This window comes from Homo sapiens, chromosome 9 (assembly GCF_000001405.40).
Source record: "Homo sapiens chromosome 9, GRCh38.p14 Primary Assembly".
Classification (NCBI taxonomy): Eukaryota; Metazoa; Chordata; class Mammalia; order Primates; family Hominidae; genus Homo; species Homo sapiens.
This window is the reverse complement of record NC_000009.12, coordinates 9,072,590-9,098,986: the sequence shown is the minus strand read 5'-3', so window position 1 is coordinate 9,098,986 and position 26,397 is coordinate 9,072,590. Positions and strand designations below refer to the sequence as shown.

Below are 26,397 nucleotides of genomic sequence, written 5' to 3'. Positions count from 1 at the left end.
CTTTTTCACTGTCACCTAAATACTCAGTAATGTGACTATACCACAATGTCTGTATTCATTTCTTTATCTAGAGATATCACAGTTGTTTTCAGAATTTTACAAATATAGACAATACCACTGTGAATATGTTCATGTAATTCTCCTGGTGAACATGTGTAAGAGTCTCTCTAGGAATAGAATTTCTGCCTTGTATTACATACAAATGATGAATTTTACAAAATATACCTAATTTTTCCCCAAAATGTTGTATCCATTTGTATTTTCTCCAATAGCGTGTAAGATCCACATAGTTGCCAAGAGTTTATGTAAGTCGATGGGTACATGATAAACATACTTGTAATGATTATTCTTTTCATCGTTAGTAACTTTGCAGATTATATTACAGACACTCAAATTGTAATAATAATAAATGTAAATAATAACTAAAAAGAAATAACAGGCCAGGCATGGTGGCTCATGCCTATAATCCCAGCACTTTGGGAGGCTGAGGCTGGTGGATCATTTGAGGTCAGGAGTTCGACACCAGACTGGCCAACATGGTGAAACCCTGTCTCTACTAAAAATTAGCCAGGTGTGGTGGTGCATGCCTGTAGTCCCAGCTACTTGGAAGGCTGAGGCAGGAGAATCACTTGAACCCAGTAGACGGAGGCTGCAGTGAGCCAACAGCACACCACTGCACTTCAGCCCGGGAAACAACAACAACAAAAATGATACTGAAAATAATAAATCTATTTATGGACAAAAGAATAGGAGTCAAAAATAGGAGGCAAGAGAGCACACTGGAATTTGGGGAAAAAGAAAGAAAGGCAATTTTTGGAGCAAGAATCATCATTAATGTGTGTGATTTGAGGTGATACATGGTTAATGAACATTTGCTAATTTTTTATAATTACACAAAATCCATATAAATATATTTACTTTGATTATATATAAATATATTAATATTGTTAAAAAATTAAAACACTTCTAATAAACAAAATCCCTTGACCACTGAGTTATCACATCCCAATTCCAGGTCCCTCTCTGGATCTTTTATGATGGTCAGCAAGCATGCCTGCCAGACGAGCCAAAGGGAAACATCTTTATTGTATTGGATAGTACACAAACCCAATGTTTACTCCTTAGGAAAACACCATCTCTATCTTTCAAGGCTCTTCACTATACAAGCATCCGTGAAAAATAGTTCGTAACAAAGACAGGTCTTCTGCTCACAAGATCTGTAGAAACATGAGACCCATAGAGAATTGTCTCCCAACAATTTCCTTCAGAGAGGATTTGCACTTGATTGCATCAAGAGCCATGGTATCCTAGCACTTTGGGAGGCCGAGGCGGGCAGATCACGAGGTCAAGAGATTGAGACCATCCTGGCTGACACGGTGAAACCCTGTCTCTACTAAAAATACAAAAAAAATTAGCCTGGCATGGTGGCAGGTGCCTGTAGTCCCAGCTGCTTGGGAGGCTGAGGAAGGAGAATGGCTTGAATCCGGGCGGCAGAGCTTGCAGTGAGCTGAGATTGCGCCACTGCATTCCAGCCTGGGTGACAGAGCGAGACTCCATCTCAAAAGAAAAAGAAAAAAAAAAAAAGAGCCATGGTGTGCTACTAACCTGTGGCCTCTTTAAACCCTTCCTCCAGTCCTTAGCTTAATTCATGAGTATGAGGTTTAGTACCCCAAAAACCTTTGCTTTAGGCCCCAACCAGAATCTCCTCATTATAGTGCTGATACTGCATTTGTTTTCAGGACAGATTTTCTCAAGTCCTTCGCCCACATGCAGGGATCAAGAAAACATAATGCCTGCTATGCTTGCAAATCAGAAGAGTATGCCTCTTATGCCTAGGAATCAGCCCCTGCTGAGATCCAGCTAACTGTTGCCCTGCTTGTATGCAAACCAAATGTTGCCTTATATTCTGATGTTTCAAGAGAAGAGTGAAATGTGTATTTTGATGATAAAACACCTGAATTTCAAGTGTTGCTGTTTAGTTCAAGCTGATTAATAATATTTTCAGAAATATGAAATGCAACACAAAACTTAGGGGGTAGGGGAGATAAAAGCAGTGACTTCAGCATTTGGGAGGTCCTTGGTGACCTCACTCATCAAAGTGTACCTCAGATATCATCTTACAGTGAAGGCATCCCTGACATGCAGTCCTACATGCCAATTATGGCCTCATTCATGAAGCCTCCATAGCATTATATAAACCTCATTTACTTTAGCACAACACATAATCATAATACTTTTTTGCTAATTTAATTGAAATGTGTTTACTGTTCTAAAGGCAATTAGACTGAAACTATTGTGATTAATCTGTATCTATATCATCTGGGTAAAGGATATATGAGTATTATTTGTTCTATTCTGATAATCTCTATGTAACCTTGAAATTATGACAAAATATTTTTAAAAAAAAGAAATCATCTATATCTTCACCTGGAAAATATAATCTATATCTTATATAGTTTTCTACAGGTTAACATCTAATTGTAAAAAGAGTCATGGAACACAAAAATGTCTAATCAGTATACAAATTAATGCTTGGAAATAATTTTCAGTGCTGGAGTTTAACCAAAATGTCGCATTCCATTCGTGAGATTGACAATTGTTTCTTGGGGACTTTTGTTTGTTTGCTTTGATAAATTGTATTGCGTATATTTAAGGTCTACAACATGATGTTATGGGATACTTATAGATAGTAAAAAGATTACTATATTGAAGCAAATTAACATATCCAGCAACTCACAGTTATCCATTTTGTGGCAACGGTGGCTAAAATCTACTCATTTGGCATGAATCTCATGTCAAATACAATTTTATTACCTATAGTCCTCATGTTGCACATGAAATCTCTAGACTTGGTCATCCTACATATCTGCTACTTTGTATCCTTTGACCTACATCTCCCCATTTCCTGTTGTTCTCTAGCTCTGTGTATTTGAAATGCATTATTTTTGTTCCATGTATAGGTAGAATAACGCAATATTTTCTTTCTGAGTCTGGCTTATTTCACTTAGCCTAATATCCTCCAAGGTTATCTTTGTTATGGCAAATGGCAAGATCTCGTTCTTTTGTGGGACTGAATAATATTCCATTGTATATATGTACCACAGGGGTTTTTAATCCATTTGTTCATCAATGGACAGGTTGTTTCCATATCTTGGCTATTGAGAACAATACTGCAAGGAACATGGGAATGAAAATATCTTAACAAAGTGATGATTTATTTCCTTTGGGTATATGCTCAGAAGAGGGATTACTGAGTCATATGGTAGTTCTATTTTTAATTTATTTTGAAACCTCCATACTGTTTTCCATAATGGTTCTCCCAATCTACATTCCTACATGAGTGTATTAAAGACTGTCCAAACCAGGTGTGGTGGCTCGTCTATAATTCCAACACTTTGGGTGACTGAGGCAGGAGGATTACTTGAGGCCAAGAGTTGGAGACAAGTCCCAGGAGACTTCCTAAGGCCCTGCCTGTCAACAGATATATATTTTTAATATACTACAAATGTGTTGATTCCACAGCTCAATCTGGAGAAAATTGACATTGAAACAACTGAAATACATTTGATTTTTGTATGTTGACTTTGTATTCTGCAACCCTAGTTCAAATAGCCTTTTTATAGATTTCTTCAGATTTTCTATGTAGACAGTCATATTGGCTGTGAATAAAGGTCATTTTATTTTTTTCTTTCTATTTATATGCCTTTTATTATAGTTGTTGTGCTGTTGTTATACAAGCTAAGACTTGCAGTATGTTGGGTGGGAGTGGTGAAAATAGACCTCTTGCCTTGTTCCTGATTTTAGGAAGAAAATCTTCCGTTTTTAAACATTAAGTGTGAAATTAGCTATAGGGTTTTTTTAATATATATAATTACCACCTATTAGCAAGCATGTTTTTTAATGCCTATCTTGCTGCAAGTTTTTACCATGAATGGATGTTGATATCAGTTGTTGGTTGATTTTTCAAATGTTGGGCTAGACATTCTTGAGATAATCTCCATTTGGTCATGAAGTATTATCACTTTTGTCTATTTGCTAGATTTGATTTGCTATTAGGTTTTTGAGAATTTGTGCATCTATGATCATGAAGGACACTGGTTTAAAGATTTATTTTCCTGTGATGTCTTTGCCTGATTTGGGTGTCGGGATAATGCTAGCCTCGTAAAGTTTTCCCTCCTCTTCTGCTTTTTGTAATAGTTTGTATGGAAATTGTATGTTGTTGTTGTCGTTGTTTGTTGTTGTTAAATATTTTATGAAATTTATTAGGGAAGCCATCTGGGCCTAAAGTTTTCTTTCTTTATTTTAGTTTTTTATTCCAATAGTTTTTGGTGTACAGGTGGTTTTTTGTTACATGGATAAGTTCTTCCATTGTGATTTCTGAGATTTTGGTGCACTTGTCACCTGAGCAGTGTACACTGTACCCACTATGTAGTGTTTGATCCTTCAGTCCCTCCCAACTTTCCCCCAACCGTAAGTCCCCAAAGTCTGTTATATCATTCTTATGCCTTTGTGTCCTCCTAGCTTAGCTCCCACTTATAAGTGGGAACATACGATTTTTGGTTTTCCTTTCCTGAATTATTTCACTTAGAATAATCATCTCCAGCTCCATCCAAGCTGCTGCAAAATACACTATTTGGTTCCTTTTTATGGCTGAGTGGCAATCGATGTCTTATATATATTATTTATCCACTCATTGGTTGATGGACACTTAGGTTGGTTCCAAACCTTTGCAATTGAGAGTTGTGGCTGCTATAAATATGCGTGTGCATGTGTCTTTCTCACGTAATGACTTTCTAACGTTTTCTTTGCTTGAAGACTTCAACTTCAAATTCAATTCATTTAATTAATGTAGGACTATTCAGGTGACCATTTCCACTTGAGTGAGCATTGGTACTTTGTTTCTTAAAAAGAATTATTCCATTTCATTTAAGTTGTTGAACTTATGTATGTTAATAAAGTTGAGCTTAATATTCTCTTATTACATTTTTAATATCTGTATTGAGGTCCTATATCCCTTTTCATTCTTGATGTTGTGCCTTTTTTTTTCTTTCTACTTGGTCACTCTGGCTAGAAGTTTATCAATTTTACTGATCTTTTTATAGAACTGTTTTTTGTTTCATTGCCTTCTGTATTGTATTTCTGTTTTTCATATTATTTATGTCCGCTCTTTATTTTCTTCCTTCTGCTTGCTCTTCCCTTTCTAGTTTCTTAAATAGAAGGCTAGATCATTAACTTGAGAACTTTTTCCTTTTCTAATAGAAGCAGTTAATGCTATAAATTTTCCTCTATATGCCTGTTTAGCTACATCCGCCCCCCCGCCCAAATTTTAACAGGTTGTGTTTTTAATTTTATAAAATTAAAAATGCTTATAATTTCCCATGTGACTTGCCTTTTTACCCATGAATTACTTAGAAAGTTCTGTGTTATTTAATTTCCAGATATTGGGGAATTTTCTAGATTGTTTATTACTAATTTCTGCTTGAATATGTTATAACCAGAAAACATTATTTACATAATTTTAATTCTCTTAAATTTTGTAAGACTTGTTTTATGGCCTGGAATATGGTTTATCATGGTGAATATTTCTTGGGCATTTGAATAAACTATGTAGTCTGCCGTTATTGGATAGAGGGTTCTATCAATACTAATTACATCAAGTTGACTACTAGTGTTATTCGTATTTCCTGTGTCATTACTGATTTTCAGTTTAATTGTTTTATCAATTGCTGAGCAAAGAATTTTGAAGCCTCTAACTATAATTATGGATTTGCTTAATTCTCCTTTTAGTTCTATTAGTTTGTGTTTCTAGTATTTGGAAGTTCCGTTGTTAGATGTATATATATTTAAGATTGTTATGTGTTCTAGGTTGATTAGCCCATTTATCACTATGCAATGTCCCTCCATATCCCTGTTCTGAAGCCTACTTTATTTTAGTATAGCCGTTTCTGCTTTTTTTGATTGGTGTTTGCATTTTCTTTCGTACTGCATTAGTTTCTTTTGTACTTTTCATTTGAACCTAGCTATGTCCATGTATTTACAGCAGGTTTCTTGTCAATAGCATATAATAGAGTATTGGGTTTTTTTAAGTAAAATCTGAAAATTTCTGTATTTTAATTTGTGTGTTTAGAACATTTACACATGATGAAATTATTGGTATGGTTGATGATCATAATTTTTTATTTGTCTTTCTAAATTTCTACACTATTAATCATCTTTATATTTAAAGCACATTGCACATAACATGAACACAATAGATGTTTATTAAGTTTGTATATCTTAAATGATAGTGGTTTCAGATCCATTGTCTATTTCAGTCAACTGTGGATTTGTCCTAAATAGACAAATTTTCAAGTCATATTTTCAAGTCATAACTTTTTCATGTGTTATAAGTGAATAGAATAACTTTTCAAGTCATAACTTTTTCATATGTTATAAGTGAATAGAATAACTATTACACTTAATTTGTAAATCACATCTTATTTATTCACTTTATGAATACACTTCCCTTGTCCATGAAGCATAAGAGTAATATAGTAGCTGTTCCTCAATCTGTGAATATTCAATTATTTACCATTAATATGTTTACTGCATGTGATATTTATAACAATAATAATATGAATCAGTTGAAGAAGAAATGAAAACAGCATACCTTTATAAATACCTTGGTATAGAAATCAGTACCAGGATACAGTCATGAATGAAGAATCACCTATTCAATATCTGTGTCTACTTTAGTTTCCAGTAGTATTATCTGTAGAGAACTTTGCCCTATAATAGACAATATGTTTAACATTTGAAAATGGTGCATTATTTCTAAGAAGAGAACATGAAAATGAGTTAACAGTAGCATGTTGGTAACAATAGTGAGCCTAGTGTTTTATTACCATCCAGTACATTATAAACCTTCACCATGTCAAATGAAAGTTTAAGAGTGAATCTTCTAAAGTGGCATGACTTTCTCTCTGGAGAAGAACCCCAAAGATAAACTGAGAGAAAAGAAAATGGCAGAGACACTTAAAAACCATTGTCTAATCCTGGCAGATAGAAGGTGACATTAGTGAGATAAGAATTTTTTGTTAATTAGGTTTTCAAAGGTCTTATTCCCACACTCAACACAAAACCCAATTGAGTTTTAAGCATGATGGTAATAGTACCTAGATGAAACCTGAGAGTAAACAGTATCCCATTTGCCCCAACCTGAAAGTTCAATTCTTCAATGGAGTACAGACTTTACTATATTGGCTGGTTCTGTTAGGTTTTGTTTAGTTTCCTTGTGATTGGGAATTTTAGCAAATATAGTACTTGTTACAGGCAGATATATGTCCAAGTCATTCTCTGTGACTGTTCACTTACTTCTCATTCCACAAATACTTACTGAGTGTGTTAGGCACTGTCCAAAGTGCTGAATAGGCTTATTACTATGAAAAGGAGTTTTAAGAGTTGATACTGGAAATGGGGACTATTACTAATTGCTGTAGGACAAATGTCCATATTGAAGCTACCTAGAATTCCTATAAGCCTACTGAAGTCTTGGGAAACAATCTGCAAGACTAACAAGGTATTTTTTAAAGGAATAAAACTTTAGTAAGAACCAGAGTCATAAGGTGATTGGAGATTTACAGAAATGTACAGTTCCAGAAAAATACGCAGCTATTTAAAGAAATTTTTTTTTTAAAGTACAATTTCCATTTTATTTTTCTCCAGAGAATAGCCTGTCTTCAGTCTTTAAGAACTCAGCTCCTTACATGGGCTTTGGTGGGGGACGTGGGGCAGCACCCGCAGGTCTAAATCGGGGTGGGGGTGTTCGGTCCTTGCGGACTTCACGAGATCGATTCCTGACTACTTTGCTGTGAATTGCACAACTCACACAGTAATGTAGCTTCACATACAGCTTGGGAAGCACATAGGCATCGAAGACGCTCGCTTCAGAAATGTCCCTGACTGCTGCGGCCTCCACTATGTTTCGAATGACGAATTTCTTAATGGCCTTGTCCTTGGGCATGCATCGGGCACAGTTAGTGCAGCGAATAGGCTGCACGTGGCCGCAGCCCTTTTTGGCACGACCATTGTTCCTTCTTTTCTTTGTCATCTTGGAGGCACGGACCGGAGACAGCTATTTAAAGAAATTTTTAACCTGTCATCATTGTCAATGGAATAAGATATCATTGAGATGTCATTAAGAGTTATTTGAAGAATGCAGCAACTCAGCTAAAGAGGATGCAACTTGAAATCACTGATGTTTTGAGTAAGGACATTGTCTTTGTTCAAGAGTCATCATTAGTTTTACCTCACTTAGGAAGATGAAAATGTTTTTTAAGTTTGTATGAAAGTGCCAGGCTGCCAACTATTATTGTTATCTGAAGCTTCTGCCCTTCATCCAAAAATAGGCTTATAAAAATTGCAATAATGGCCACTGAAGACCTAATAACGCTGACATATTCACTACTCAATCTGTGGAAATACTAGAATGATTATAAATATATAATATCTAACAAGCCATTACCCATGTGGTACAATCTCAGAATGATGTTCTGATTAAAGACACACAGCTCACAATAAAAAGCAATTCAATAATCTTCAACCATCAAAAAATAATAAATCCTGTCATTTGCACCAATATAGATGGAACTGGAGGTCATTATGTTAATTGAAATAAGCCAGGCATAGACAGACAAATATTGCGTGTTCTCACTTATATGTGGGGGCTAAAAAAGTGTACCTTATAGAGGTAGAGAATAGAATGATTGCTACCAGAGGCTGAGAAGGGTATGGAGGGCCAGGGAGATGAAGAGAGGTAGGTTAATGGGTACAAACATACAACATAGGAATTCCAGTGTTCAATAGCACAGTAAGGTGACTGTAGTTAACAACAATATATTGTATATTTCAAAATAGCTAGAAGGGAATATTTAAAATGTTCCCAATGCAAAGGAATAAATGTTCAATGTGATGAATATCATAAATACCTGAATTTGATCATTACACATGTATGCATGTATCAAAATATCACATATACCCCATAAATATGGACAAACATTATGTATCAATAAAAAATAAAAACTGGAAAAGATTTCAAAATAAACTTGTCTCTTTTCATTTTTCAAACACAGTGAAAGGAGTAAATATGGCAGAGCATTACTACTTTTTTTACCTTCTGCTTTCCCCACATATTATAGGTGTTTCCTTATTTCTTACTTTGGAAACCTTCACAAAACTATTTTCCCCAGCCCTGACAAGTATGTTGACATTACCCTTCTACACCAACCCTTCGTTCTTACTCTGCATTATAAAATCTCAAAATCAACAGTCAGGAAAAATTGGAGAGGAGAACCTAAATAGGCAAGCAGGATTTTATTTAGAAGAAATAGAGGAAAGTTTAGGAACCTTAATAGAATAGTGATAGTTTTGCTACATGGAATCAATTTGTAGGCCCTTGCATACTATGAGTTAGTAGAGTCATAAAGAAGCTTCATGGAGCATTTATTCTAACTCATGAATGAAAAACTTTGGTCAGAAAGGTTAAATGGCCTGCCGCAGATCAAATATTAATATTCGTACTGAATCTGGGGAGCAATTGTCCCAGCTACATACTCATTATTTGAGCACTGTGCCCATAGTAGCAGTCAGCAAACTGTAGACCTTGGATCAAATCTGGCCCACTGCCTGTTTTTGCCAATAAAGTATTATTAGGACACACTTATTTCTTTACCTATTATTTGTGACTATGGCTCATAAGGCCTAAAATATTTATTCTCTAAACATTTACAGAAAGCCCTTTTAAAAGTAAGATAGCTGTCAACTGTGTCAAGTCCTTCAACACAAGAATATCTTACATATGCCACCCCACTCAACACACACACACACTTAAACACAGCCACATTAAAGGGTTTTGTTGACTTTTTTAGCAAGTCACAAATTATTTGAGAAAGACCTTCTTTTTACTAGGGGGTAAAAATAGGAGTAATGTTGAGTGAAAAACCCTTGTGTTCCCTTCAAAATAGCTCATATTTATTGAGTGCTTATCATTGTTCTGGCACAGTCCTAGGTGTTTTACAATATTTACTCATTTAATACAGAAAATCTATAATTACCTATTATAACACATTGAGGAAACAGAGACTACAGACATTAAGTAACTTGCTAAACTATAGCTATGAAGTGACAGGGTCAAGTTTCAAATCCAGACACTGACTCCAGAGCTCACAGGCATAAGTTCTTTCAGAGCCTCCACAAATACTAAGAAAACCTTTGTCTTCTGCAATCTCAGCAAGCTAGGCAAGGCTCTATTTGAATATCCAGGGCTAATATGGAGTACTCTGTGTTAATATTTGTAAAGTATGAAGGTCCTTTGAGACCATCTACTGCAAGCCAGACTTCTTTTTTTTTTTTTTTTTTTTTTTTTTTTCTGAGACTAAGTCTCACTCTGTCGCCCAGGCTGGAGTGCAGTGGCACAATCTCAGCTCACTGCAACCCCGACCTCCTGGGTTCAAACAAATCTCATGCCTCATCCTCCCGAGTAGCTGGGATTATAGGTGCCTGCCACCATGCCCAGCTAATTTTTATATTTTTTGTAGAGACAGGGTTTCACCATGTTGGTCAGGCTAGTCTCAACCTCAGGTGATCCAGCTGCCTCGGCCTCCCAAAGTGCTGGGACCACAGGCGTGAGCCACCGCACCCGGCCCAGATTTCATTTTATTAGTTCAAGATTGTCCCTTCCTTAACAGCTTTTAAAATTTAGAAGAACTTTCTTTTCTGGCAGGTTCAAGGGAAGAATGAGGACACAAGAATCAAAAGTTTAGGGCTCTGGCCGGGTGCAGTGGCTCACGCCTGTAATCCTAGCACTTTGGAAGGCTGAGGCGAGCAGATCACTTCAGGTCAGGAGTTCAAGACCAGCCTGGACAACTTGGTGAAACCCCGTGTCTACTAAAAATACAAAAATCAGCCAGGCATGGTGGTGCACGCTTGTAATTCCAGCTACTCAGGAGGCTGGGGCAAGAGAATCTCTTGAACCTGGAAGGTGGAGGTTTCAGTGAGCTAATGCCACTGCACTCTAGCCTAGGCAACAGAGTGAGACTCTGTCTCAAAAAAAAAAAAAAAAAAAAAAAAAAGAGTTTAGGGCTCTGGTGGAAAATAAGATTATTATGTTCTATTTGACATCAAGCGATTGTGTTGAGTGAAGAGCAGGCATATTGTGAAAATGAAAGGAATGTGGATTTTAAAGCCAGAAAATAATGACTTTGAATTTAAAATTTAACTTTGGAAAAATTACTACAAGCTCCCTGAGCCTTGACTTTCTTATTTTGGTAGTTTGGGATATTCACTTCCCCATGTTTTCCATAAGGTTAAGTGAGATTATGTATGTGATGAACTCTAGCACAATGTAAGTAACTTATCTGGCACTCAGAATTCTCTGTATTTTCCTTGAAATCACTTCTCTGTATGTTTCTCATATTTCAATCCTGGTTCTTAGTTCTTTTTCCTCCTTGAAATGCCACCTACATTTCTTTATGGAAGGACAATGCCTCTTCAGTATGCAGGAGTACAGTGGCTGCCTTCCGGACCTTCTCACAGTTTTTCTCATTCTTGAACTTATCGGTAAACCACTGAAAAATGGTCACACATGGGTAATAGGTATAATTATAATTTTATTATTTGTGATTTATCTTCTCTATTACATTCATCTATGCACATTCTATTTCTGACTATGAAAACACCAACTCTTCAGGGCCAAGGACCAAATCTCTGCTTTGGTAACTGGGGAAATCTGTAGATGTTTCACACGTTTATAGTAATAAAATATTTTAGAGGACTCACTAAGTTTACCTTAAGTAATGTTGGAAAAACAACAGAGAGAAAAATCCAAGAGAGAAAAAAAAGCCAACTCAGAGACAATGGAAATCAGTGTTTTCTGTGTGTGTATTTGCTTTTCTAGGAGCAAGAATTAGAGCTCTGACATAATTAGGAAAATTCAGCTTGTGTGTGTCACTCTGTATATCACTTCAGCCATGATGACTGTTTTTCATTATTTCTCTTTTCTTCTCTTCCCCATGGCATCTGTTTCTTTGGCTTTTGCTATTGTATGGTACCTACACACTATCATTCCTTTGTATCTCTTAGTTTCAGCTTGCTATGGTCAACTTTTTTGTTTCACTGGCCCAATTCCCCAGAAGTCTGTGACTCACCTAACCAGTCATCTTTGTTCACATTTTAAAAAAGCATTTGCCCAAGCCACACCAGATGCTTTTATCCAGCCCAAATATTATCCTCTTAAAATAGATGTCCATTGTTAGTCACTTCAGCTGGGACCAAGGGAATGGCATCCTGATGTACAGAATTCAGCCACCTATATTTCCTAGGAACAATTTAAGCCCACTTTCCACAGCTGCAGGGAGGGGTGAGGACAAGATGGTTGTGGCTAAATGATTGAAAAGGCAGCCAAGAATTGAGAATCCAATCTAGGGCTTATAATGGTTTATAAAGGTGATAATAATCCAATGTGGGAAACAAGCAAATCAGTATATAAAGGGTGATGTGAGACAGAAATCAGTCTTTAGGCTCCTAGCCTTCTTAAGAGGGACAGCTTTTCTCTTCATTTCCCCCAGTAACTGTCCCAAAGTGTGGCATGACACAATAGGCTGCCCATAATGAACAGCATGCGTTCTAGATTAAACCAAACATCTCCATATCAAAACTAAAACTACTATGCTTCTCACTCTCAGTGAATTAGTCTCAATGAATAGTACCAGTCAGAAGGAGGTTCAGTATTCTATACCCATAGATTTAGAATATTTTCAAAAGTCATCTTTAGTGAAAAATGTATAGAGGTCACACTTCAATTCGATTTGGTGCCGTTCTGGAAGTGATCCTTACTTAAAAAGAAAATTGAAGTCCAAGTTATGTGAGTTAGTTAATCATTAACAGAATCACCTTGAAAATTTATTTACTTTCCTATATATCAGTAAATTATATGTGTAAGTTGCATATGTATTCACTTTTGTAAGGCTAGCCCAAAATGTTTTCACTGGTGGAGAAAGCAAAACCACAAGCATCTGCTAAAAAGTGAGCAGCTTAGGGTTGGACACAAGTAACTGATAATCCTTCCTGGGGACAATTTCAGCCTGAGCGGAAGACTTCTCTAGATTCGAGAGGCTTAAATTAATATAGAGCTTGGAAAGGTCTGGTAGTACACAATATATAAAACATTTAAAACATTTGGACTTTATATCTTATGGCAATGTGAAAGGAAAGAGATGCATTTGACCCTGTATATGGCAATGAGGTGGCAAACCGACAATTAAGCAGAAAAATCTGAAGGCCAAATGTCAAAAAAAAAAAGAGCATTAACCCTGAGTAGTGACATTTTAAAAATGTCCTTGGCTCACAATGAAGTATAAGTGCTAATGTGACCATTTATTTGTCTATTTATAAGAGGGAAAAAAAGCCCTGAGTTTCTAAACTGTTTGGAAATGGATCTTATTCTTCCTGAAAAATAATAAGGCGCTGTTATTTTCACCCTAAGGGTCAAAAATAGGAAGAAATGTCCATTAGTACCCGTCAAAGCTTACATATGCACTATTCGCATCTTGAAAGAAGAATTTGCATGCTGTAGATTTTCCTTGGCAAAAACCAACATTTTCTCTGAGAGAGAAGGAAGTAATTATTATAAAATGTTCACACTTAATGGTAAAAGTAGAATATTTATTCTAGGAATCCTAAATAGGTAGTTATAAAATAATTAAAAGGTGATATGTTCTTGTGTCTATCTTTCTTTTCAGTCTTGATCTTTTTATCACAATGCCATTAAAATGACAGAAAGAGAAAGTCACTTTAAGTGTTGACCAAAAAAATCACTAAATATATATTTATCAGGCTTGTGAGCAGCCACAAAAATTGTTTTGTAATGAAATAATGATAAAATTACAGAATCATACATTATAATCAATATCTCCTTTTGTGCTTAACTATACAGTAGCAAAGATAGAAGTTTTAAAGGAATATTTTCAGGGAAAAATAATCTTTCCCTGTCTGTGCTAAAAATGGTTGATGAAAAGTTTTCTTCATTTTATAGTCTTAAAAATACATATGAGAAAGTGGCTAAGAAATATTTAAACATTAGAGAAAATAAAATGTTGATATTTTGATAAATGTAGAGATCTGTTTGGATGGCTCTTTTGATGAGAGATCAAAACAACAGTCCGTGAACTATGAAGCAATCTACTCTTCCTCTTTCAAGTGTCCTTCTCTAAGCACCTTGCCCACATTTTGCTATAGTGTGTGTCATTTGGAGTATATTTTTACTACCATTGTTAGGGACAGAGGCCAGTACATTACCTCTGCTTAAAAATAACACTCTCAGATCCCATTCATTTACAGTCCTTTAAATACATTGACTTTGGCTCCCAGAAATGTGTGTCAGTGGGAACTTTTTTACTATTATTATACTTTAATTCTGGGATACATGTGCAAAACATGCAGGTTTGTTACATAGGTATACACATGCCCTGGTGGTTTGCTGAACCCATCAACCTGTCATCTGCAATAGTTATTTCCGCTAATACTATCCCTCCCTAGACCCCCAACCCCTGACAGGCCCTGGTGTGTGTGATGTTCCCCTCCCTGTGTCCATATGTTCTCATTGTTCAACTCCCACTTATGAGTGAGAACATGCGGTGTTTGGTTTTCTGTTCCTGTATTAGTTTGCTGAGAATGATGGTTTCTAGCTTCATCCATGTCCCTGCAAAGGGCATGAACTCATCCTTTTTCATGGCTGCATAGTATTCCATGGTGTAAATGTGCCACATTTTCTTTATCCAGTCTATCATTGATGGGCATTTGGGTTGGTTCCAAGTCTTTGCTATTGTGATAGTGCTGCAATAAACATACATGTGCATGTGTCTTTATAGTAGAATGATTTATAATCCTTTGGGTATATACCCAGAAATGGGATTGCTGGGTCAAACGGTATTTCTGGTTCTAGGTCCTCGAGGAATCACCACACTGTCTTCCACAATGGTTGAACTAATTTACACTCCCACCAACAGTGTAAAAGTGTTCCTATTTCTCCACATCCTCTCTAGCATCTGTTGTTTCCTGACTTTTTAATGATCACCATTCTAACTGGTGTGAGATGGTGTCTTGTTGTGGTTTTGATTTGCATTACTGTAATAACCAGTGATGATGAGCTTTTTTTCATATGTTTTTTGGCTGCATAAATGTCTTCTTTTGAGAAGTGTCTATTCAAATCTTTAGCCCACTTTTAATGAGGTTGTTTATTTTTTTTCTTGTAAATTTGTTTAAGTTCCTTATAGGTTCTGGATATTAGCCCTTTGTCAGATGGATAGATTGCAAAGATTTTCTCCCATTCTGTAGGTTGCCTGTTCACTCTGATGATAGTTTCTTTTGCTGTGCAAAAGCTCTTTAGCTTAATTAGATCCCATCTGTCAATTTTGGCTTTTGTTGCTATTGCTTTGATGTTTTAGTCATGAAGCCTTAGCCCATGCCTATGTCCTGAATGGTATTGCCTAGGTTTTCTTCTAGGAGATTTATAGTATGGGGTCTTACATTGAAGTCTTTAATCCATCTTTAGTTAATTTTTGTATTAGGTATAAAGAAGAGGTCCAGTTTCAGTTTTCTGCATATAGCTAGACAGTTTTCCCAACACCAGGATTATTAAATAGGGAATCCTTTCCCCATTCTTGTTTTTCTCAAGTTTGTCAAAGCTCAGATGGTTGTAGATGTGTGGTGTTATTTCTGCGGCCTGGGTTCTGTTCCATTGTTCTATATATCTGTTTTGGTACCAGTATCATGCTGTTTTGGTTACTGTAGCCTTGTAGTGTAGTTTGAAGTCAGGCAATGTGATGCCTCCGGCTTTGTTCTTTTTGCTTAGGATTGTCTTGACTATACAGGTTCTTTTCTGGTTCCATATGAAATTTAAGGTAGTTTTTTCTAATTCTGTGAAGAAAGTCAATGGTAGCTTAATGGGAATAGCATTGAATCTATAAATTACTTTGGGCAGTATGGCCATTTTCATGATATTGATTCTTCCTATCCATGAGCATGGAATGTTTTTCCATTCGTTTGTATCCTCTCTGTTTTCCTTGAGCAGTGGTTTGTAGTTCTCCTTGAAGAGGTCCTTCACATCCTTTGCAAGTTATATTCCTAGGTATTTTATTCTTTTTGTAGCAATTATGAATGGGAGTTCACTCATGATTTGGCTCTCTGTTTGTCTATTATTGGTGTGTAGGAATGCTTGTGATTTTTGCATGTTGATTTTGTATCCTGAGACTTTGCTGAAGTTGCTTCTCAGCTTAAGGAAATTTGGGGCTGATACGATGGGGTTTTCTAAATATACAATCATGTCATCCGCAAAGAAAGACAATTTGACTTCCTCTTTTCTAATTGAATACCCTTTATTTCTTTCTCTTGCCTGATTTCCCTGGCCGGAACTTCCAATACCAGGTTGAATAGGAGTGGTGAGAGAGGGCACCCTTGTCTTGTGTCTTAGGTTTGTCATAAATACCTCTTATTGTTTTAAAATACATTCCATCAATACCTAGTTTATTGAGAGTTTTTAGCATGAAGCGGTGTTGAATTTTATTGAAGGCCTTTTCTGTATCTGTTGAGACAAACGTGATTTTTGTCATTGGTTCTGTTTGTGATGGATTATGTCTATTGATTGGCATATGTTGAACCACCCTTGTGTCCCAGGGATGAAGCTAACTTGGTCGTGGTGGATAAGCTTTTTGATGTGCTGCTGGATTCGGTTTGCCAGTATTTTATTGAGGATTTTTGCATCGATGTTCATTGGGGTGGCCTGAAATTTTCTTTTTTTGTTGTGTCTCTGCCAGGTTTTGGTATCAGGATGATGCTGGCCTCATAAAATGAGTTAGGGAGGAGTCCGTCTTTTTCTATTGTTTGTAATAGTTTCAGAAGGATTGGTACCAGCTCCTCTTTGTACCTCTGGTAGAATTTGGCTGTGAATCTGTCTGGTCTTGGGCTTTTTTTGGTTGGTAGTCTATTAATTACTGCCTCAGTTGCAGAACTTGTTATGGTCTATTCAGGGATTTGACTAAGACCCACCTCACGTGCAAAGACACACATACGCTCAAAATAAAGGCATGGAGGAATATTTACCAAGCAAATGGAAAGCAAAAAAAAAAAAAAGCAGGAGTTGCAATCCTAGTCTCTGATAAAACGGACTTTAAACCAACAAAGATCAAAAAAGACAAAGAAGGGCACTACATAATGGTAAAGGAATCATTGCAACAAGAAGAGCTAACTCTCCTAAATATATATGCACCCAATACAGGAGCACCCAGATTCATAAAGCAAGTTCTTAGAGACCTACAAAGAGACTTAGACTCCCACACAATAATACTGGGAGACTTTAACACCCCACTGTCAGTATTAGATAGATCAACGAGACAGAAAATTAACAAGGATATTCAGGACTTGTACTCGGCTCTGGAAGAAGAAGACCTAGTAGACATCTACAGAATTCTCCACCCAAAATCAACAGAATATACATTCTTCTCAGGAGTGCATCACACTTATTCTAAAATTGACCACATAATTGGAAGTAAAACACTCCTCAGCAAATGCAAAAGAATGGAAATCATAACAAACAGTCTCTCAGACCACAGTGCAATCAAATTAGAACTCAAGATTAAGAAATTCACTCAAAATCGAACAACTACATGGAAACTGAACAACCTGTTCCTGAATGACTACTGGGTAAATAATGAAATTAAGGCAGAAATAAATAAGTTATTTAAAACCAATGAGAACAAACATACAATGTACCAGAATCTCTGGGACACAGCTAAAGCAGTGTTTAGAGGGAAATTTATAGCACTAAATGCCCACAGGAGAAAGCAGGAAAGATCTAAAATCAACACCCTAACATCACAATTAAAAGAAGTAGAGAAGCAAGAGCAAACAAATTCAAAAGCTAGCAGAAGAAAAGAAATAACTAAGATCAAAGCAGAACTGAAGGAGATAGAGACATGAAAAACCCTTTAAAAAAATCAGTGAATCCAGGAGCTGTTTTTTTGAAAAGATTAACAAAATAGACCGCTAGCCAGATGAGTAAAGAAGAAAAGAGAGAAGAACCAAATAGATGCAATAAAAAATGATAAAGGGGATATCACCACTGATCCCACAGAAATACAAACTACCATCAGAGAATATTGTAAACACCTCTATGCAAATAAACTAGAAATTCTAGAAAAAATGGATAAATTCCTGAACACATACACCCTCCCAAGGGAACATTTGCTTTTTAAAACAATGTAGTACACAGTTTAGAATCCCACTTCTGGTTAAGTGGGATAGACCCAGAAGAGAGATAGAGCTTTGTGATTAAGTGGGAAGCTCTGGAGTCAGACTGCAGGAGTCACATGCTATCTCTACTGCCTGTAGCTATGTAATCTTGGGAATTACCTAACCCTATTTGTATATTATTTTACCAACCTCAAAAAAGAGGATAATAAGATGATAGGATATCATTTCTAAAGTTGTAAAGGGTCTATTCAAGTAAAGTGCTTCAAACAATATGTGGCACATAGTAGTAGCAAGCGACTTTTATTATAAAATCAGTATTCACATACAGCTTTTTGTCACCTTTTTGAGCACAACCGTTTTAAATTACTTTTCCATGTATTTTGAAGGATTTAAAAATGTCATTCTAGAGTGGCAACATGGTAAATTGGCAGAGAAAAAGTCTTTGGAATCAAAGATATTTGGTCATCTCTTACACCATGTGTAAACTTGGATAAGTTGTATAAACTCTCTAGACATCAGCTTTCTATTTTTAACATGGGAGATGTAAATTGAGAAATGAGTAATATAATGCATTCAGGGATCTAGTACAGTGATAGATGCTCAATAGACAATAACTATGGGTTATGATTTGACTAAATTAGATTAAACCCAGAATTCTACATGATCACATAAAATACCAATAACTGAATTTAGAATGTTCGGGATGTCATTGAACATTTAATATTGTATTGGTAGCTTCATCAAGCATACTGTGCACACTTAAATATTAAACATCAGTAGAAACTAAGGGCACCCTTATTCCAGCAACACATCATCACCAATGTATTAATCTGGTAAACTCATGAACTGGATGAAATCCTAGCTCTCCTTAATCTACCTTTGTCATAACCACAGCATATGGGCTGAATTTTGGTGTGAGAAATCTAATACTCCTTAAAGTACATAAGTGCATACATATTGTGATCCTCTGTGTCCTGATCCCCTCCCTAAAGTGTTTCTGTCAGCTGTCAAGAGCTGCCTGCCAAAGGTTATGTCACCTCCCAGAGGAGATATGAGACCGACAGCTAACTAATTCAGGGACTCAGAGGCCCCAGTCCAATTGTAAACTAGTGCAACCACTATGGAGAACAGTATGAAGGTTCCTCAAACAACTACAAATGCAACTACATATTGTCCAGCAATCCCCCTACTGAGAATCTATCCAAAGCAAAGAAGATCGAAGAGACATCTGCATCTCACATCTACTGCAGCTCTATTCACAATAGCCAAGATATGGAATTAACATATACAAAATGGAATATTATTCAGCCATAAAAATGAATAAAATCCTGTCATGTATGGCAACATAGATGGAACTGAAGGATATTAAGTGAAATAAGCCAGAAACAAAAAGTTAAATGCTGTGTGCTCTCACCCATATGTGGAAGCTAAAAAAAATTTGATCTAATGTAAGTAAACAGTAGAACAGAGGATATTAGAGGCTGGGAAGGGTGGGGGAAAGGAGGAATAAGGAGAGATTTGTTAAAGGATACAAAATTACATCTAGATAGCAAGAATAAGTTATAGTGTTCTGTGGCACTGTAGGATGACCATAGTTAACAGTAATATATAGTTTCAAATAACTAGAAGGAGAATACTGAACATTACCAACACAAATAAATGATAAATATTTGAGATGATGGATATGCTGATTACCCTGATCTGATCACTATACATCATGAGTATTGAAACATGGCTATGCTAATTACCCTGATCTGATCACTCAACATTATGAGTATTGAAATATGCTAATTACCCTGATCTGATCACTATATATTGAGTATTGAAACTATTGTACTTTATAAATATGTACAGTTATTATTTTTCAATTACAAATAAATAAAGTCCCATCCCACTGCCCCAATATTTTGGCACAATTCTGAAGGGCCATCCCAGCTCCAGAGCTCACTGCAGGATCGACTGGGTCCTCTGTTGCAACCATATTGCTGATAGTTTTTGCCTTTGCCATCCATACTTTCCTGCAGCTGTATCTCCTGAGAACACTCCCCAGTAAAAAAAACCTTCTAAACACAACTCCTTTCCCAGAGACTGCTTCTGGAGAACACAATCTAAGGCTTCCCCTAGTTTGAAAGGTTTTATAATAAAAAAGTGGAACATGAGCCAAGTATTTCTTTCTTATCTATCATGGCACAGCAAGCAATGGAAGAATTCAAAGTGGAGCTGTTTTAAGAACTTGGTCAGCCCTTTCGAAGCCACAGCATGCCTCATAACAAACATATGAAAGCACACCCACATTCAACATTAATTATTTACTGCAAAATTCTGGAAAGGAATGTTGTAATTTTGTTTTTGAAATTATTTAACTATGATATAATTAAGGATGGGCCATGATTTTTCAGCAGAACTCAGAAATTCTTGCGAAGTGGAAAAAATATATCCAGCAAACTGTTTTCAAATTCAATAAAACTTTTATGAATACTAAATTTAATAATTAATGACGTTTACATAATGTTATGTCTTGCAGACATTTAATTAAACATTTATTCATTTTGATTTTATGGGTTCTTTTTTGTATTCCAAAGCCAATAAATTTGATTTCAAGGACTCAAATGTTATATGAAGGTCTTAGAATATCTCATAAGCCATTGAAAATGTCAAGGCCCTTGAAAATATCTGTATAGAAATCTAGCATACATTTACAAAATACAAAGCGTAAACTTTTTCCTTTTTCTTATTCACTCTTATTTCTAGGCTATGGTCAGGTAGATAAATGCTCAATGGCTTCAATGTAAATAGATATTTATTTTAGAGCTCATTCAAGTTTGAGAGAAAGGAGAAAATGTACACAGAGGGACTATTTGAATACAAAACTGACTCAGGTTAAGCTGGGGTCATTCCCTTTCACATTTCCAAGGAAATGTTCCATGTGCTTCATCTTTATCTTGTATAGGTAGGCATAGCTGTGTGTTTAACTGTGGACCATCATATGTGACTACTCCTCCCTCCCCCAGTAAAGTGATATTTCACAAGGCTCTCCCAATCAGGGTGCATTAAGCTATAAGTATACACATTTAGTCACAAATCTTTGCATGACACTCTCCGCTATTAGTTTTAGAAAACTGGCTCTTCACATCAATTTTTGTGGATCTCTATAAACATAAAAAAGGAGTAATAGATTCTGGCATGTGTATGTATTTTAATCCAGATGAACCAACCACATCTTATATTGACTTTGTTTAATAATAAAAATCACCAAAGTTAGCAATGGAAAAGACTTACTACATTAGGAAATAGATCCATTAAGCTTATTCAAGATAATAACATTTTCAGTCACCTGAATTCATCCCCATTCTGCTTCTATGAACTATGGAGAAATATACACCCATGGTATTTTTTCATTAATAAAACCATCTTTGAAACATTCAACATAGTGAAGAGACAACCCACAGAATGGAAGAAAATATTTGTAAACTGTACATCACATCTCATGAAGGGTTAAAAACCAGAATATATAAGGAGCTCAACCAACTCTACAGAAAAAAAAAAAAAACTAATAATCTGATTTTAAAATGGGCAAAACGATGTGAATAGACATTTTTCAAAAGAAGACATACAAATGGCAAACAGGTATATGAAAAGGTGCTCAACATCATTGACCATCAGAGAAATGCAAATCAAAACTGCAATAAGATCACCTTATCCCAGTTAAAATGGCTTTTATTCAAAAGACAGGCAACAGCAAATTCTACCAAGGATGTGCAGAAAAGGGAACCCTTGTACACTGTTGGTAGGAATGTAAATTAGTACAATCACTATGGAGAACAGTTTGGAATTTCCTCAAAAAACTAAAAATAGAGCTACCATATGTTCCAGCAATCCCACAGCTAGGTATATAACCAAAAAAAAAAAAAAGGAAATTATCATATTGAAGAGATATCTGCACTTCCATGTTTATTGCAACACTATTCACAATAGCCAAGATTTTGAGGCAACCTAATGTCCATCCTCAGATGAATGGATAAAGAAAATGTACATTCACACAGTGGAGTACTATTCAGCTATGAAAAAGAATGAGATCCTGTCATTTGCAACAACAGAGATGGAACTGAAGGACATTATATTATGTGAAATAATGCAGGCACAGAAAGACGAACATTATATGTTCTCACTTACTTGTGGAAGCTAAAAATGAAAATAATTGAACTCATGGAGATAGCGAGTAGAATGATACTTACCAGAGGCTGGGAGGAGTACTAGACAGGGGAGCAAAGGGGACGGTTAATGGGTACAAAAATAACACTTACACTAATTAAACTAAAGAGCTTCTGCACAGCAAAAGAAACTGCCATCAGAGTGGACAGGCAACCTACAGAACGGGGGAAAATTTTTGCAATCTCCCCGTCTGACAAAGGGCTAATATCCAGAATCTACAAAGAACTTAAACAAATTTACAAGAAAAAATCAAACAACCCCATCAAAAAGTGGATGAAGTCTCGAAGACATTTATGCAGCCAACAGACACATGAAAAAATGCTCATCATCACTGGACATCAGAGAAATTCAAATCAAGACCACAGTGAGATACCATCTCATACCAGTTAGAATGGTGATCACTAAAAAGTCTGGAAACAACAGGTGCTGGAGAGGATGTAGAGAAATAGGAACACTTTTACACTGTTGGTGGGACTATAAACTAGTTCAACCATTGTGGAAGACAGTATGGCGATTTCTCTAGGATCTAGAACTAGACATACCATTTGACCCAGCCATCCCATTACTGGGTATATACCCAAAGGATTATAAATCATGCTGCTATAAAGACACATGCACACGTATGTTTATTGCGGCACTATTCACAATAGCAAAGACTTGGAAAGAAGCCAAATTTCCATCAATGAAAGACTGAATTAAGAAAATGTGGCACATATACATCATGGAATACTATGCAGCCATAAAAAAGGATGAGTTCAGGTCCTTGGTAGGGACATGGATGAAGCTGCAAACCATCATTCTAAGCAAACCATCACAAGGACAGAAAAGCAAACACCGCATGTTCTCACTCACAGGTGGGAATTGAACAATGAGAACACTTGGACACAGAGTGGGGAACATCACACATCAGGGCCTGTTGTGGGGTGGGGGATGGGGGAGGGATAGCATTAGGAGATATATCTAATGTAAATGACGAGTTAATGGTTGCAGCACATCAACATGACACATGTATACATATGTAACAAACCTGCACGTTGTGCACATGTACCCTAGAACTTAAAGTATAATAAAAATAAAAATAAATAATACCGATATCGAATGAATAATATCTAGTATTTGAAAGTACAACGGGGTGATTACAGTCAACAAAAATTTATTATACTTTTAAAAATAACTGAGTATAATGGTATTGTTTGTAACAAAAGGAAAGGATAAATGTTTGAGGTGATGGGATATACCCATTTACCCTGTTGTAATTATTATGCATCATATGCCTGGATCAAAATATCTCATGTACCCTAAAAATATATACACCTACTATGTATGCACAAAAATTAAAAATTAAAAATTTTTAAACACAGATTATCAAAAGCAAAATAATTATAATAATTTCATAGGAAAGTACAATAAGCATTTGACCATTATCTTTTTGTAGGGAATTTTTGTTTTCTTCTCTTTTTGTACAATTATAATTAAAGTTGCAATAAACATTAAACAAATAAAATAAACAAGACCATCTTTGTTCTATATTGTCAGTGATCTGTGATAAGGTACATGATAGGATAATATAGGACTTTTTTTTTTTTGCCCAAAATACCTCCCAAACTAAATTGTAATTTCTTTTCCTCAGAATGAAACCTAAATTTGTTCTAAAACTGATTATTTTACATGTTATATTTTACATATATATGGTAGAAAATATTTGCAAACCGTACATCTCATGAGGGATTAATAATCAGAATATACAAGGAGCTCAAACAACTCTACAGAAAAAAAAAGTAATCATCTGATTTAAAAATGGGCAAAAGCTCTGAATAGACATTTCTCAAAAGAAGACATACAAATGGCAAACAGGCACATGAAAGGTGCTTAACATCACTGATCATCTTTTATATATATAATAAAATATGAGCCAGATTTAAAATATTTACATAGTCTTGGTCTATATTTCACTCCCAAATTCTACCAAATCCATAAAACATAAGGTGGAAAGAAATTACAAGTCTCAATTTTGATCACTTCTCAGAATTCTACAATAATCCCAGTGTCAACCCTGACTGCTAAATGTTGAAAATCTGTTTTAGTGAGTGTTCCACCAAAATTTGCGTATATGTGAATCAATCCTAAAGCATTTTCATTATCAATGATCATTTTTACAAATTGTGTTTTACTTGTTTTATACCCTGTGCTACTCCTTATCTCTTTTCAATTATTCTTCATGTAAACTTCAGTATTTCAGCCATCAGCACATTTATCCCATTGAAGATCAATAAAACTCAGGAAAAAGGAAGCTATATTCAGAAAAGTAACCATCATTTCACTGTCAAAATAAGTGGCTTAATATCCTAAGAGCTATTTAAACTTCTCTCAGCTTTAGTTTTTTCATCTCTAAATAATATTTTTTTGTGGGATTATTTTAAGGATAACAAAACAGCTTCTATTTAATGAAATCTTAGGTGTGTCAGGCACTATGCTACCCACTTGACATCTCACATAATTCCCACTTTTCTGGAAGGTTATACTATAATTAGTCCTTATTTTACAGGTGGGGAAACTGTTGAGACCAATATTACACAGACTAGATGCTTAATTACATTTAGTATATTATATATGGATTATCACATATAATATAAAAATGAGGATTTTTAATGGATTTTGGAGAATTAGAACTGGCATTTAGTTCAGCTGGCATATGTATTAGTCAGGGTTTTTCAGAAAAACAGGCACAATAGGATATACATATATACAGAGATTTATTTTAAGAAATTGATTTACATAATTGTGGGAGCTGACAAGTCCAAAATTAATAGGGCAAGCCGACAGGCTGGAGGTGCAGTTAAGAGTCTTGCATCTGAAGGCTCGAAACTAAGGTAGAATTTCTATGTTGCAGTCTGCAGGTAAAATTTCTTCTTTTTGGGGAAACCTCAGTCTTGGCCTTCAGCAAATTTAATGAGACCCATTCATATTATGGAGGATTGTCTGCTTTACTTAACTGGTGGTAAATGTTAATCGCAACTGAAAAATAGTCTTAGAGTAACATCTACACAAGTGTTTGACCAAACAACTGAGTACCATGATCTAGCCATATTGACACATAAAATTATTCATAACCAAATATTTGATTTTTTAAAAAAAGAAGTCCCATATTGTCCTATTTGCATACCATCTCAGATATATTATTGAAAGCCAGATCATCTGATTCGAGAGTCCACAAGCTTATGACTCTGATAATCACTAGAAAACATGTAACAATGCCTTGCACAGTGCTTGTACAAAATGAACAGTAAATAAATCTTCGTTGAATCTGAGTTCAAGTTAGATTCTGGGTGGTTTCCAAGAGGAACCTCAACCATGTTATTACTAATTAGTGTTTCCCTCAACATTCTCTCGTCTTTCTTTACCCCTTTTTATTTCTCCACTGATTTCTTCCATTGGTTTCACCATTATATTATTGAAAAGCTGTCCTTTAAGTTTTATTCTGAACTTCCATGTTTGAGATCCTCAAATCGAAAATCTCTCTCAAATATGCTGTCAGTAGAGATCTGTTCAAGATGGCACGTAATTTTTTATATGCCTTCATACTTGTCTTATATCCTGTTTTCCATGAAATGCTCATTCAGTTTTCTAGATTAATCTATGTGTGAAATCAATATGGACAAAAAGGAATATACACAAGGCAAAATGTGACTCCATGTAACATTCTAACATAGTGTTTAAAAGTGTGGGCTAAATAACTTAAGATCACTTCACTTTCGTCAAGTCCCTGCTACGTAAGATTTCCCATGTGCAAAATGACGATTATCATAGTAATACAAATCACAGGACTCTAATGAAGACTCAGTGACATGATAGATACTGACTATGTAGAATAGTATGTGGCAAATAAGAGGTGCTCTGTAGATG

General features: G+C 35.6%; 1 protein-coding gene and 1 pseudogene across 38 annotated transcripts in view; one reads left to right on the top strand and one right to left on the bottom strand.

The window, feature by feature from the left end:
- The window catches only part of PTPRD (protein tyrosine phosphatase receptor type D), a 2,298,757-nt gene that overhangs the window by 1,514,016 nt on the left and 758,344 nt on the right, over positions 1-26,397 (top strand). The gene's annotated exons all lie outside the window — the stretch shown is intronic.
- On the bottom strand, positions 7,675-8,113 carry RPS26P3 (ribosomal protein S26 pseudogene 3; annotated as a pseudogene).